Raw genomic sequence first — 12,363 nt, 5'->3', positions numbered from 1 at the left:
AGAGAATCGCTTGAACCCGTGAGGTGGAGGTTGCGGTGAGCCAAGATCGCACCGCTGCACTCCATCGTGGGCAACAGAGCAATATTTTGTCTCAAAAAATAAAAATATAAATAAATAAATAAATACAACCTTGTAAATAAACAAAATTTGTCATTTTTGACCTCTCAAGATATACATGTATATTTTGTAATCTCTTGTAATTTTTTGAACTTTTTATATTTTATTTTTATCTGCATTCTTTTTATTTTTTCAATTTGAAACCACCTTTAAGTAATTTCACATTGTTATAGGAAACAAAAAGATATCATTTAGTGATAACCTCAGTGGCTCACGCCTGTAATCCCAGAACTTTGGGAGGCCTAGGTGGGTGGATCACTTGAGGTCAGGAGTTCAAGACTAGCCTGGCCAACATGGTGAAACTCCATCTCTACTAAAAATACAAAAAATTAGCAGGTTGTGGTGGTGCACTTTTGTAGTGCCAGCTACTCTGGAGACCGAAACAGAAGAATCGCTTGAACCCAGGAGGTGGAGGTTGTGTAAGGCCCAAGAGGTTCACCTTGCCCTTTGCCTAGACAGAGCTGATTCATCAAGACAGGCGAATTTGTGGAGGAAAAGTTAAATAATAAATTTGAACTCAATTGAACGTGGACACAAACAATGGTCACCGAGTCCCAGAACAGGTTGTGTGAGCCCCTTCAAGCGTTCATTCAGTGCTGTTTTGGAGAAATCTCTATTTCAATCTATTCCTATGCATTAGTTATTGAAAAACAATAGGCAATCGCAAAAACAAGTTGACATTTTTATGTTCCTCGTGCCGGGTCATGAAAGGCCCTCGTGACTAGGCCTCATGCGAAACAACTAGTTACAAAAGAGCTAGGATACCAGACTGGGCTGAAGCTTCATGAGACCTCTTCTCATCTGTGCAGGAATGAGCGGCCGACTCTGGAGCCCAAGCTGTTGCTTCCCATCTGGTGGTGAGGCCTCCACTGTCTGGTGAGTGCAATGTCCGATGCTAGAGCCCAGGCTGTTGCTTCCCACTCTGGTAGTGAATCCTCCATAGTCTGGTGAGTGTAAATATATATATATTTTTTCCTTTCTCCTCTTCCCATTGCAATTTGCTTATTATATCAATCTACTTGTTATATCAATCTGCTTATTATATTGATTTGCTTATTACATAATTTGCTTATTATATCTGCATTGCTATTTACGTGGAATGAAGCTTGTTTACCCTTAAAGGTATTGTGTGTGTGTCTTTCCTTCTCCCCCTCGTGCGTTTCCCGCACAGAACACTTTTGGTGTCACAAACAGGATTCAAAAACAAAAGTGTGCCACTTTTTAGCAACAAGGGCAGGGCGGGAGGCTCGAGGACTTCCCATATCCCCGGATGGAAACTCCCCCAGTTCTCTCCCTTGGCAATTGAATGGTCAAGGGGAACCGGACTTTGTAAGAATTGGGAATCTAAATTAGTGCAATTTAGACCTTTGTGCGTGAAGTGCTGCAGGGAATTCCAGTCAGCAAAGGAGACGCTGAGGGGATCTCCCAGAGTGGATGGTGTTTCCTTACTGCTTATAAGATAATGTGTCAAGATAGGGGCTGGTTGCATCCTATGAAATGCAGGGAAATAATTCATTTTACCAAAGGCTAAGCCTAAAATACTAGAATTTGCAACCCCTACCACTAAAAATGAGGCTCAGAAATTTATTGGCTTGTTTGGATTCTGGAGACATCATATTCCCCACTTGGGTAACATGTTACAACCTCTGCATGCAGCCACCAGAAAACGCTATGACTTTGGGGAGAGAAAGAGATCATGGCTTCCGAACAAGATAAACAAGCAGTGCAACTGGCCCTGGATCTATGACCCATTTGGGATGGTCCCGTAGAACTGCAAGTAACTGTCCTAGATCAACATGCTAATTGGAGCCTTAGGCAGAAACAAGATGGGAAGAGGTACATTTCTGGTTTTGGACCCAGAAACTGCCAGAGGCCAGCAAAGCTTATAACCCTTTCGAGGAGCAATTGTTAGCTTGCTATTGGGCTTTGCTGGAAACGAAACACCTCTGCTTCAACCATGATGTCTTTATGAGGCTTGAAATTCCTATTATGACTTGGGTCATGAGTTCCCCCGAAACTCACCAGATAGGGCACGCCAAGGGGGAGAACTGGGGGAGTTTCCATTCCGGGATTTGGGACGTCCCCAAGTTTCCAGCCTTGGGCTCCAGAGTCAGACACCGCACTCTCCAGGCTGGAAGATTCTCCACCAGGCCAGGAAGCAACAGCATGGGTTCCAGAGTGGGACACCCGCACTCACCAGACTATGAAGGACTCACCACCAGACCAAGAAGCAACAGCCTGAGCTCCAGAGTCAGACACCACCCTCATCAGACTGTGGAGGATTCACCACCAGACAGGGAAGCAACAGCCTGGGCTCCAGAGTTGGCCACTCGTCCGTGCACAGACGAGGAGAGGTCTCATGAAGCTTCGGTGCAGTCTGGGACCACAGCTCTTTAGTAACGAGTTGTTTGGCATAAAGCCCAGTCACAGGGCTCTTCAGGACAGGGCTTAAGGAACACAAAAAGGTCAGCTTGTTTTTGTGATTGTCTATTGTTTTTCAACAATAGTAGCTGTAATCCCAGCTACTCAGGAGGCTGAGGCAGGAAAATCGGGTGAGCGAGACCCCGCCACTGCACTCCAGCCTGGGTGACAAAGCGAGACTCCGTCTCAAAAAAAAAAAAAAAAACATTAGCTTTAGTATTGATAATACACTACTAACAAAGTAAACGTTGATTTTCTCTTGAACAAAAATTTTATGTATTATTAATATGCCAGCAAAATACTTCTGTTCACCTTTTGAATACATTCAAAAGGAGAGTGAGTACAAAAGAGAATTTTCTCATGCTCTGGGGGGGGCCTGGGTCAGCTCAGGAAGGAAGCCCTGCCTGTAAAGGCTGCAGCTTAGGCTGTCTCTCTTCACTTAGCCCAGCATCTGATCACATCTTCTGTCACTCAGGGCCTGAGGGGCGGGACCTAAAGCATTATCCAATCAGAGACGCTGGGCTGGAAACCGTCCAATCAGGCACGCAGCTGGAGCGACGAGGACGGCTTTCCGCTTTTGGCGCGGCCTTTGTCTCTAGCTGCAGCCGGCGTTTCAGGTCTCGTCTTCACTGGTCTGTGTCCTATTCTCCTGGAGGCCCAGCCTCTGTGGCCCTGTGACCTGCAGGTATTGGGAGATCCACAGCTAAAACCCCAGGACACCCTGGAAGCATAGAAATGGTGAGAGTGCCCGGCCGACATCCCGAGACAGGAAGAGGGGCAGGGTGGAACTGGTGGGAAGTGACTGTGGCGGGACTCAGGCCTCTTCGCAGTCAGCTCCACAATGTGCGCCCCAAGTTCTCCTTGCCCAGGTTGGCCTCAGCCCCCTTCAGCCTTAAGATGGCGACTGCGCTGACAGCCGGGCCGCCAGGCCTCCTGTCTCTTCCTCTCGCAGTGACTGTGCCATGGCCTGGAGCCCTTTCTAGGCAGCTCTGCAGCGGCAGCGCCGCGTTTCTCCCAGATTTTGCAGGGACCATGGGAGGGTCGTCAGGGGAGAATCCTGACTCGGGATGTGGGTTCATGAATGGGAAGAGCTTTGGTCCGTGGGGTTCACAGTTTCTCTTTTCTGTTATTAAAAATGTGTGGAATCCGGGAGGTGGAGCTTGCATTGAGCCGAGATTGCACCACCACTCCAGCCTGGGCGACAGAGGGAGACTCCGTCTCAAAGAAAAAAAAAAAGTATGGTGCCAGGTACGAAATGCCAGTAATCCCAACACTTTGGGAGGCTGAGAAGGGCTGATCACTTGAGGTCAGGAGTTGAAGACCAGCCTGGGCAAAATGGGGAAACCCCATCTCTACAAAGAAAATAGAAAAATTAGCTGAGTGTGATGGCGAATGTCTCTAGTCCCAGCTACTCGGGAGGCAGAGGAGAGAGAATCGCTTGAACCCAGGAGGCGGAGGCTGCAGTGAGCTGATATCACACCACTGCATTCCAGCCTGGGTGACAGAGCAAGACTTTGTCCTTTTTTTTTTTTTTTTTTTTTTTGAGACGGAGTCTCGCTGTCGCCCAGGCTGGAGTACAGTGGCGCGATCTCGGCCCACTGCAGGCTCCGCCCCCTGGGGTTCACGCCATTCTCCTGCCTCAGCTTCCCGAGTAGCTGGGACTACAGGCGCCCGCCACCTTGCCTGGCTAATTTTTTGTATTTTTAGTAGAGACGGGGTTTCACTGTGTTAACCAGGATGGTCTCCATCTCCTGACCTCGTGATCCGCCCGCCTTGGCCTCCCAAAGTGCTGGGATTACAGGCGTGAACCACCGCGCCCGGCCTAAGACTTTGTCTAAAAAAATAAATAAATACATAAATTATGGGAGTCACCGCAAAAATATCAAATAATTTAATCAGTCATTCAAGAGCACCCAGCTATAGTTTGTAGTTTGCGGTCCATGGGAGGGGCTTGAAGGAAACATTGATAAGGTGCATGATGAAGAAAACCATATTCAATAATTCAATACGTATAGTTATGTAGTTTCTTTGTACAATTAAGGTGGAAATTTCCTGGTTATGTAATCAGAGCTTAATTGGCAGTTTATGGTTTTTTAAGCCTGAATTTTGTTTCCCGAATGTAGTAATTTAGCAAAAACTGCACTTGAGTTTAGATTTTTATTTTAGAAGGAGGAATCCGAGGACTAGAGCATCCTCAGTCTAATTGCCTGCCACTTAATTATTTCCACACCCCACAGGGGACTGATTTTTCCCTAGCATTTTTCACATGTGTCCTAAGCAGGGCCTGAAATGTACCCCACGTTCCTCAATTAATCATTTTTTTTAAAGCATTGCATAACACTATTGAAAAGACTTGTTTTCTCTTTGTAAATATTTCCCAGAAGAAAGCAAAGAATAATCCCCTGACACTGTATTGTAAAAAATATCTGTGCCTGCATTTCTTTTGTTGTTTTTGTTTTTTGAGATGGAATCTGGCTCTATTGCCAGGCTGGAGTGCAGTCGCGCGATCTCGATTTACTGCAACCTCCGTCTCCTGGGTTCCAGCGATCCTCCTGCCTCAGCCTTTCCAGTAGCTGGGACTACAGGCGCGCGCCACCACGCCCAGCTAAATTTTTGTATTTTAAGCAGAGACGGGGTTTCACCATGTGGGCCAGGATGGTCTCAATCTCTTGACCTCGTGATCCACTCGCCTTGGCCTTCCAAAGTGCTGGGGTTAGGCGTGAGCCACCGCGCCCGGCTCCTCTTTTTCTTTTATTTTTCCAGAGAACTTACCAAAATGTTTTTGGGTCAAGATTACCCTTTGTAAACTTTGTAGGGTGATGTGTCCTCAGCTATCCTTCAGTTTTTTTTCTGGGCCTGAGTTTTAGTACTTTCTGGGAATAAACCAAGATACCCACCATGGCTATGTCTGGTAGAGTGTCTAGTGACTATTAGCTCTTGGGTCATTTTCTCCCATAGGACCACCTGAAGTATACAGTGTAGCCTCTCAAAAGAGCAGGTGACAGCCTTGGGGCTGAAAGGCATCTCCTGTTGCACTTCTTCTTTTTTCTTTTTTTTTTTTTTTTCCTGAAAAGCTAACCCCTTGAGGCTGGGTGCAGTGTCTCACGCCTGTAATCCCAGCACTTTGGGAGGCCGAGGTGGGTGGGTCACCTGAGATCAGGAGTTGGAGACCAGCCTGGAGGCTGGCCAACATGGTGAAACCCCATCTCTACTAAAAAATACAAAAAATCAGCCGGGCATGGTGGCAGGCGCCTGTAATCCCAGCTACTCGGGAGGCTGAGGCAGGAGAATGGCGTGAACCCGGTAGGCGGAGGTTTCAGTGAGCCGAGATTGCGCCACTGCACTCCAGCCTGGGCGACAAGAGCAAGACTCGATCTCACAAAAAATAAAGAAAAGCTAACCCCTTGAGACATGATTCTCTTCACCCAACCTAGCTTCCAATTCTTGGAGACACATTGCTTGTCAGCCAACCAGATGCTGGTATCGAGGGGAAAACAAATAATTTCTGTCCCCTAGATTTTCTTGGCGGGGGCAGGGGGGGGGTGGCAGAAAAATAGTGAAAAATTTGTTTAAAAAAAAAACACTCCAAAAGACAAAAAAAACTGACCCCAGTGAGATGGCGTAAAAATTTAGGAAGTAAAATGCACCTGGAGGACTCACTGGGTCATATCGCAGTGTCTCCTGGGAGGGTGGTTATTGAGCACGTAAATGAGCAGGATGGGGTGGGTGATTCGACCTGTACCTTGAAACGATCTGTTCACTTATTTTGACCTCCCTTTTTTTTTTTCTTTTTTGAGACAGTCTCAATCTGTTGCACAGGCTGGAATGCAATGGCTCAATCTCGGCTCACTGCAACCTCCACCTCCTGGGTTCAATTGATTCTCATGGCCTCAGCCTCCCAAGTAGCTAGGACTACAGGTGCGCACCACTAGGCCCAGCTAGTTTTTGTATTTTTAGTAGAGATGGACTAGGCTGGTCCCAAACTTCTAGTCTTAAGTGATCCACCTGCCTTGGCCTCCCAAAGTGCTGGGATTACAGGCGTGAGCCACTGCACCCAGCTGACATGTTTTTTTAACTAAAATTTGCATTTTATTAGTAGGGCTTGAAAGTTAAGAAAATATTTACAAAGAAAATAAAATATGAGTTTCAAAAAATTAATATCTAATCATATATTCCATTTGTTAATCATTCTCATTTATCTTTTTCTTTCCCAGAGTGAGTTTAGGAATTTTCTCAGGTGTGTTTTTTATGGCTGAGTGATTTCAAACAGAATTCCAAGCCTTAACTTTAAGAATGCTAGCTACCAAGGGAAAAAATAAGAAAAATCTCTCTTTCATTTTGGCTGTAGACAATGAATATATTTCCACAGGAAAATGTTGTAGATAATTGAGTTACATAAATTCATCAAAACATCAGTACCTCCTTTTGCTGGGTAAATTTGTGACAGTGAATAAATATCTCATGTCTATATCCTGTTGTCTTCATTTCTGAATGTAATGCTAAATTATATGTGATGAAACATGGTACCTTCTACAAGTGTTCCCATATGACTAATTTGTTACTACATTATTTTTAATAGAAATAATAAGATAATACATATATTGTCTGAAAGAAGTAGGTATATTTGCTTTTCTTATGAAGGTATAAAATGCAAGCACTTTAGCCAGGTGCAGTGACTCATGCCTGTAATCCCAGCATTTTGGGAGGCCGAGGCAGGTAGATCACTTGAGGTCAGGAGTTCCACACCAGCCTTCCCAACATAGTGAAATTCCATCTCTACTAAAAATACAAAAATTAATAGGGTATGGTGGCGCATACTTTGTAGTTTCAGCTGCTTGGGAGGCTGAGGGAGGAGAATGACTTGAACTCGGGAAGCAGAGGTTGCAGTGAGCTGAGATCATACCATGGCACTCCAGCCTGGGTGACAGGGCAAGACTCCATCTCAAAAAAAAAATTAAGCACCTTAAAATTTCCATCCCTTATATAAACACAGTGTTTGAGTAATTTCACTGGATTTTTTGAACAGTTTCAAAAACCAAGTAAATAACTCTCACATGGAAATTAAAGCTTGAACCTTGTGACTCCAAGCTAAGGCTAATATTAAGCCTGCAACAGGAGGTTATTAAAGGCCCAGTTAGTTATTCTTGGGGAACCTTTCCTGCAGATGTTTCAGCCTGCTCACCCGAGCCATGGAAGGAGCCTTCATCCTCAGAGAAACTGCAGAGCCCTGGAAAGCTGGGGCCCCACAGGCAGATGCAGTTAAGGTTAAAATGAAAGGAAACTGGGGGACGGTCTTACTAATGATGATGAAGTTGTTATTGTTTTGAGGCACCTTCTACACTTTGTGTAATACAAATGTTAGATTTATGTAAAAAAAATGAATTTCAAAAATGTATTGCAACAGGAGGAAGTACCAACTAACTATAAGATCTTTACGGCTTGCATAGATGTAGGCAGAAAAGAGCTTTCTTTTCTAGGGAGGAGCAAACAAGATTAGAAAGGAGGTGGGAGAGGAATGGCAAATGGAGGGTGAAAAAGTCAGATTATAGAAAAGAGAATGTCTTACCCTGAAATCAGCATATTCTTAGGAGGGACATAAAATGGGGTTGTATGTTGACTCAGACTGAGGGTAGCTCAAAGTTCAGGAGCCTGAGGGAGGGAGATAAGCTTAAGTAAAGTTTAAGAAGTATTTACTTTTAGGCTGGGTGTGGTGGCTTATGTCTGTAATTCCAGATCACAAGGTCAGGAGTGCGAGACCAGCCTGAGATGGTGAAACCTTGTCTCTGCTAAAAATACAAAAATTAGCCACCTGCGGGGGCACGTGCCTGTAATGCCTGCTACTCAGGAGGCTAAGGCAGGAGAATAGCTTGAACCTGGGATGCAGAGTTTGCATTGAGCTGAGATCATGCCATTGCACTCCAGCCTAGGCAACAGAGCAATACTCCAACTCAAAAAAAAAAGGAGATATTTTATTTTAAGCCTGGCATGGTGGCTCACCTGGAATCCCAGCATTTCAGGAGGCCAAGGCATGCAGATCACCAGAGGTCACAAGTTTGAGACCAGCCTAGGCAACATGGTGAAACCCTGTTTCTACTTAAAATACAAAAATTAGCCGGGCATGGTGGTGGGTGCCTATAATCCCAGCTACTCGGGAGGCTGAGGCAGGAGAATTTCTTGAACCCGGGATGCAGATGTTGCAGTGAGCCAAGATCACACCACTGCACTTCTGCGTGGGTGACAGAGCGAGATTCCAGCTCAAGAAAAAGACAGAAATATTTTATTTTTACCACTGAAGACAAATTCAGCTGATTTTTTTAATGAGAAAAAGGAGAAAATGTGCAGAGTGTGTGTCTGGCTCTGTGACAGGTAAGAAAAGGGAGCACCGTCTAAGTTGTAATGGGAAGAGTGTTTCTTTCCATAAACTGTTCTTGGAGCACATATAGGATGGAGAATTGTATTAATCACAAATATTTTCCAGCATTATCTATGCATTTCATCGTTCCCCATCACTTTTCTTTGTTCTATGCATTTCTTCCATTTGGCTTTTCCTGGGCTGCATCTTATATATGAAACTGGTAAACATAACTACAGTGTTTCGCTGAGTACTGTGAGTGGCTATACAAAATTATTCAACTTCAGGGAGGTCATGGCAGCCCCAAATATTAAACATTAGCTCAGAAGCATACATGGGCCCATGGGGTTTGTGATTGGCATCTGCAGTGAGGACAATGTTGGGACCCGAGCCCTGAATCAGAGTCTGTTCTGACTGTGGGTAGTGTCAGAATTCAAATGTTAGACAATAAATTGTTGGAGAATTTTTTGATGTTCAGCAAACTACAGATTTAGTGCCAGAAATAAGATATGACAGAGTCCTTGCCTGGAATAAAACTCTGGGTGTTTGGGAATGAGAGACTGCTCTCCTGTACACAGGCAGTCACACTGCCCATTGTCCTGTGATTCCAGGTCTTCTCCAAGGGTGACAGAGGCCTGAAAACTTAGAGGAAAGGAGCTCTGATGACAGACCCCCTTTTCACACAGCTGCTACCACAGGATTCCCACCCACTCACAAACACACACACTAGATATTGATGTGTCCACACTCCTCCCAGGACTAGGCACCCCCCTCAGGAACTTCACCATGGCGTTTTTGATCCAAGTGTTTTTTGCCAAAAAACAAGTCTCCTGGTACATCCCCTCAGACTGTAAATCTGCTGCAGCAACCTGTTTTCTCTACCAAACTAGGGTTCTGGACCACCTGTTCATAATCTCATCTGCATGCATGCACACAGAAATAAATCAGTACAGCCCCACTGGGACCACTATCTGTAGCAAAAATCAGTCCTTTCACCTACATTGCACTCTCCCACCCTGGGATTTTTTTTTTTCTTTTAGCTTTAATTTTTGTTTCGGGGTACACATGTGGGTTTGTTATACAGCTAAAATTGTGTCACGGGGGTTTGGTGTGCAGATTATTTTGTCCCTGAGGTACTACCCATAGCACCAAACAGGTATGTTTTCTGATCCTCTGAGTCCTTGCAGGGTCCACCCTAAACTAGTCCTCAGTGTCTGTTGTTTGTGTTCATGTGTTATTATTATTTACCTCTTATAAATAATAACAAGCATTTGGTTTTCTTTTTCTTCATTAGTTTTCTTTTTGGTTTGGTTTGTTTTTTGTTTTTGTTTTTGTTTTTTGAGACAGAGTTTCACTCTTGTTGCCCAGGCTTGAGTGCAACAGCGTGATCTCCGCTAACCACAACTTCCACCTCTTAGGTTCAAGGGATTCTCCTGCCTCAGCCTTCCGAGTAGCTGGGATTACAGGTACGCACCACAACGCCTGGCTAATTTTGTATTTTTAGTAGAGATTTGGTTTCTCCATGTTGGTCAGGATGGTCTGAAACTCCCAACCTTAGGTGATCCACCCATCTCATTCTTCCAAAGTGCTGGGATTACAGGCGTGAGCCACCGTGCCTTGATGTTATTGCAAAGACCTCATTTTTTTTTTACTTATTAATTTTTTATTATTATTATTATACTTTAAGTTCTAGGTGCATGTGCACAACATGCTGGTTTGTTACATATGTATACATGTGCCATGTTGGTGTGCTGCACCCATTAACTCATTATTCATATGAGGTATATCCTAATTCTATCCCTCTCTGCTCCATCACACACCCATGACAGGCCGGGGTGTGTGATGTTCCCCACCCTGTGTCCAAGTGTTCTCATTGTTCAATTCCCACCTATGAGTGAGAACATGTGGTTTTCTGTCCTTGTGATAGTTTGCTCAGAATGATGGTTTCTAGCTTCATTCATGTCCCTACAAAGGACACGAACTCATCCTTTTTTATGGCTGCATAGTGTATATGTGCCACATTTTCTTAATCCTGTCTATCATTGATGGACACTTGGGTTGGTTCCAAGTCTTTGCTATTGTGAATAGTGCCACAATAAACATACGTGTGCATGTGTCTTTATAGCAGCATGATTTATAATCCTTTGGGTATATACTCAGTAATGGAATGGCTGGGTCAAATGGTATTTCTAGTTCTAGATCCTTGGGGAATCACCACACTGTCTTCCACAATGTTTGAACTAGTTTACAGTCCCACAAACAGTGTAAAAGTGTTCCTAGTTCTCCACATCCTCTCCAGCACCTGTTGTTTCCTGACTTTTTAATGATAGCCATTCTAACTGGTGTGAGATGGTATCTCATTGTGGTTTTGATTTGCATTTCTCTGATGGCTAGTGATGATGAGCATTTTTTCTTGTGTCTGTTGGCTGCATAAATGTCTTCTTTTGAGAAGTGTCTGTTCATATCCTTTGCCGACTTTTTGTTAGGGTTGTTTGATTTTTTCTTGTAAATCTGTTTAAGTTCTCTGTAGATTCTGGATATTAGCCCTTTGTCAGATGGGTAGATTGTAAAAATTTTCTCCCATTCTGTAGGTTACCTGTTCACTCTGATGGTAGTTTCTTTTGCTGTGCAGAAGCTCTTGAGTTTAATTAGATCCCATTTGTCAATTTTGGCTTTTGTTGCCATTGCTTTTGGTGTTTTAGTCATGAAGTCCTTGTCCATGCCTATGTCCTGAATGGTATTGCCTAGATTTTCTTCTAGGGTTTTTATGGTTTTAGGTCTAACATTTAAGTCTTTAATCCATCTTGAATTAATTTTTGTATAAGGTGTAAGGAAGGGATCCAGTTCCAGCTTTCTACATATGGCTATCTAGTTTTCCCAGCACCATTTATTAAATCGGGAATCCTTTCCCCATTTCTTGTTTTTGTCAGGTTTGTCAAAGATCAGATAGTTGTAGATGTGTGGTATTATTTCTGAGGGCTCTGTTCTGTTCCATTGGTCTATATCTCTTTTGGTACCAACACCAGGCTGTTTTGATTACTGTAGCCTTGTAGTATAGTTTGAAGTCAAATATGGTGATGCCTCCAGCTTTGTTCTTTTGGCTTAGGATTGTCTTGGCAATATGGGCTCTGTTTTGGTTCCATATGAACTTTAAAGTAGTTTTTTCCAATTCTGTGAAGAAAGTCATTGGTAGCTTGATGGGGATGGCATTGAATCTATAAATTACCTTGAGGAGTATGGCCATTTTCATGATATTGATTCTTCCTATCCATAAGCATGGAATGTTCTTCCATTTGTTTGTGTCCTCTTTTATTTCATTGAGCAGTGGTTTGTAGCTCTTATTATTTTGAGATACGTCCCATCAATACCTAGTTTGAGAGTTTTTAGCATGAAGTGCTGTTGAATTTTGTCAAAGGCCTTTTCTGCATCTATTGATAATCATGTGGTTTTTGTCTTTGGTTCTGTTTACATGA

General features: G+C 43.8%; 1 long non-coding RNA gene across 2 annotated transcripts in view, besides 2 other annotated features; it reads left to right on the top strand.

Annotated features, from left to right (window-relative positions):
• Positions 1-12,363, top strand: part of LOC105372310 (uncharacterized) — a 148,126-nt gene that overhangs the window by 30,265 nt on the left and 105,498 nt on the right. For both annotated transcript variants that reach the window (XR_007067164.1, XR_001754065.2), the window contains exons 2-4: positions 927-1,064; positions 1,774-2,582; positions 3,014-3,276. This is a non-coding gene — a long non-coding RNA (uncharacterized LOC105372310). The remainder of the gene's footprint in view (positions 1-926; positions 1,065-1,773; positions 2,583-3,013; positions 3,277-12,363) is intronic.
• Positions 2,339-2,857: an enhancer, noted in NCBI's record as "NANOG-H3K27ac-H3K4me1 hESC enhancer chr19:20349516-20350034 (GRCh37/hg19 assembly coordinates)". NCBI's record gives its function as "activates a minimal SCP1, AML or CMV promoter by ChIP-STARR-seq in naive H9 embryonic stem cells {active_cell/tissue: H9 hESC(naive)}" and the evidence as "EXISTENCE:reporter gene assay evidence [ECO:0000049][PMID:30033119]".
• Positions 3,369-3,879: an enhancer, noted in NCBI's record as "H3K27ac hESC enhancer chr19:20348494-20349004 (GRCh37/hg19 assembly coordinates)". NCBI's record gives its function as "activates a minimal SCP1, AML or CMV promoter by ChIP-STARR-seq in primed H9 embryonic stem cells {active_cell/tissue: H9 hESC(primed)}" and the evidence as "EXISTENCE:reporter gene assay evidence [ECO:0000049][PMID:30033119]".

This window comes from Homo sapiens, chromosome 19 (genome assembly GCF_000001405.40).
Source record: "Homo sapiens chromosome 19, GRCh38.p14 Primary Assembly".
NCBI lineage: Eukaryota > Metazoa > Chordata > Mammalia > Primates > Hominidae > Homo > Homo sapiens.
This window is presented reverse-complemented; position numbering and strand designations above follow the sequence as displayed.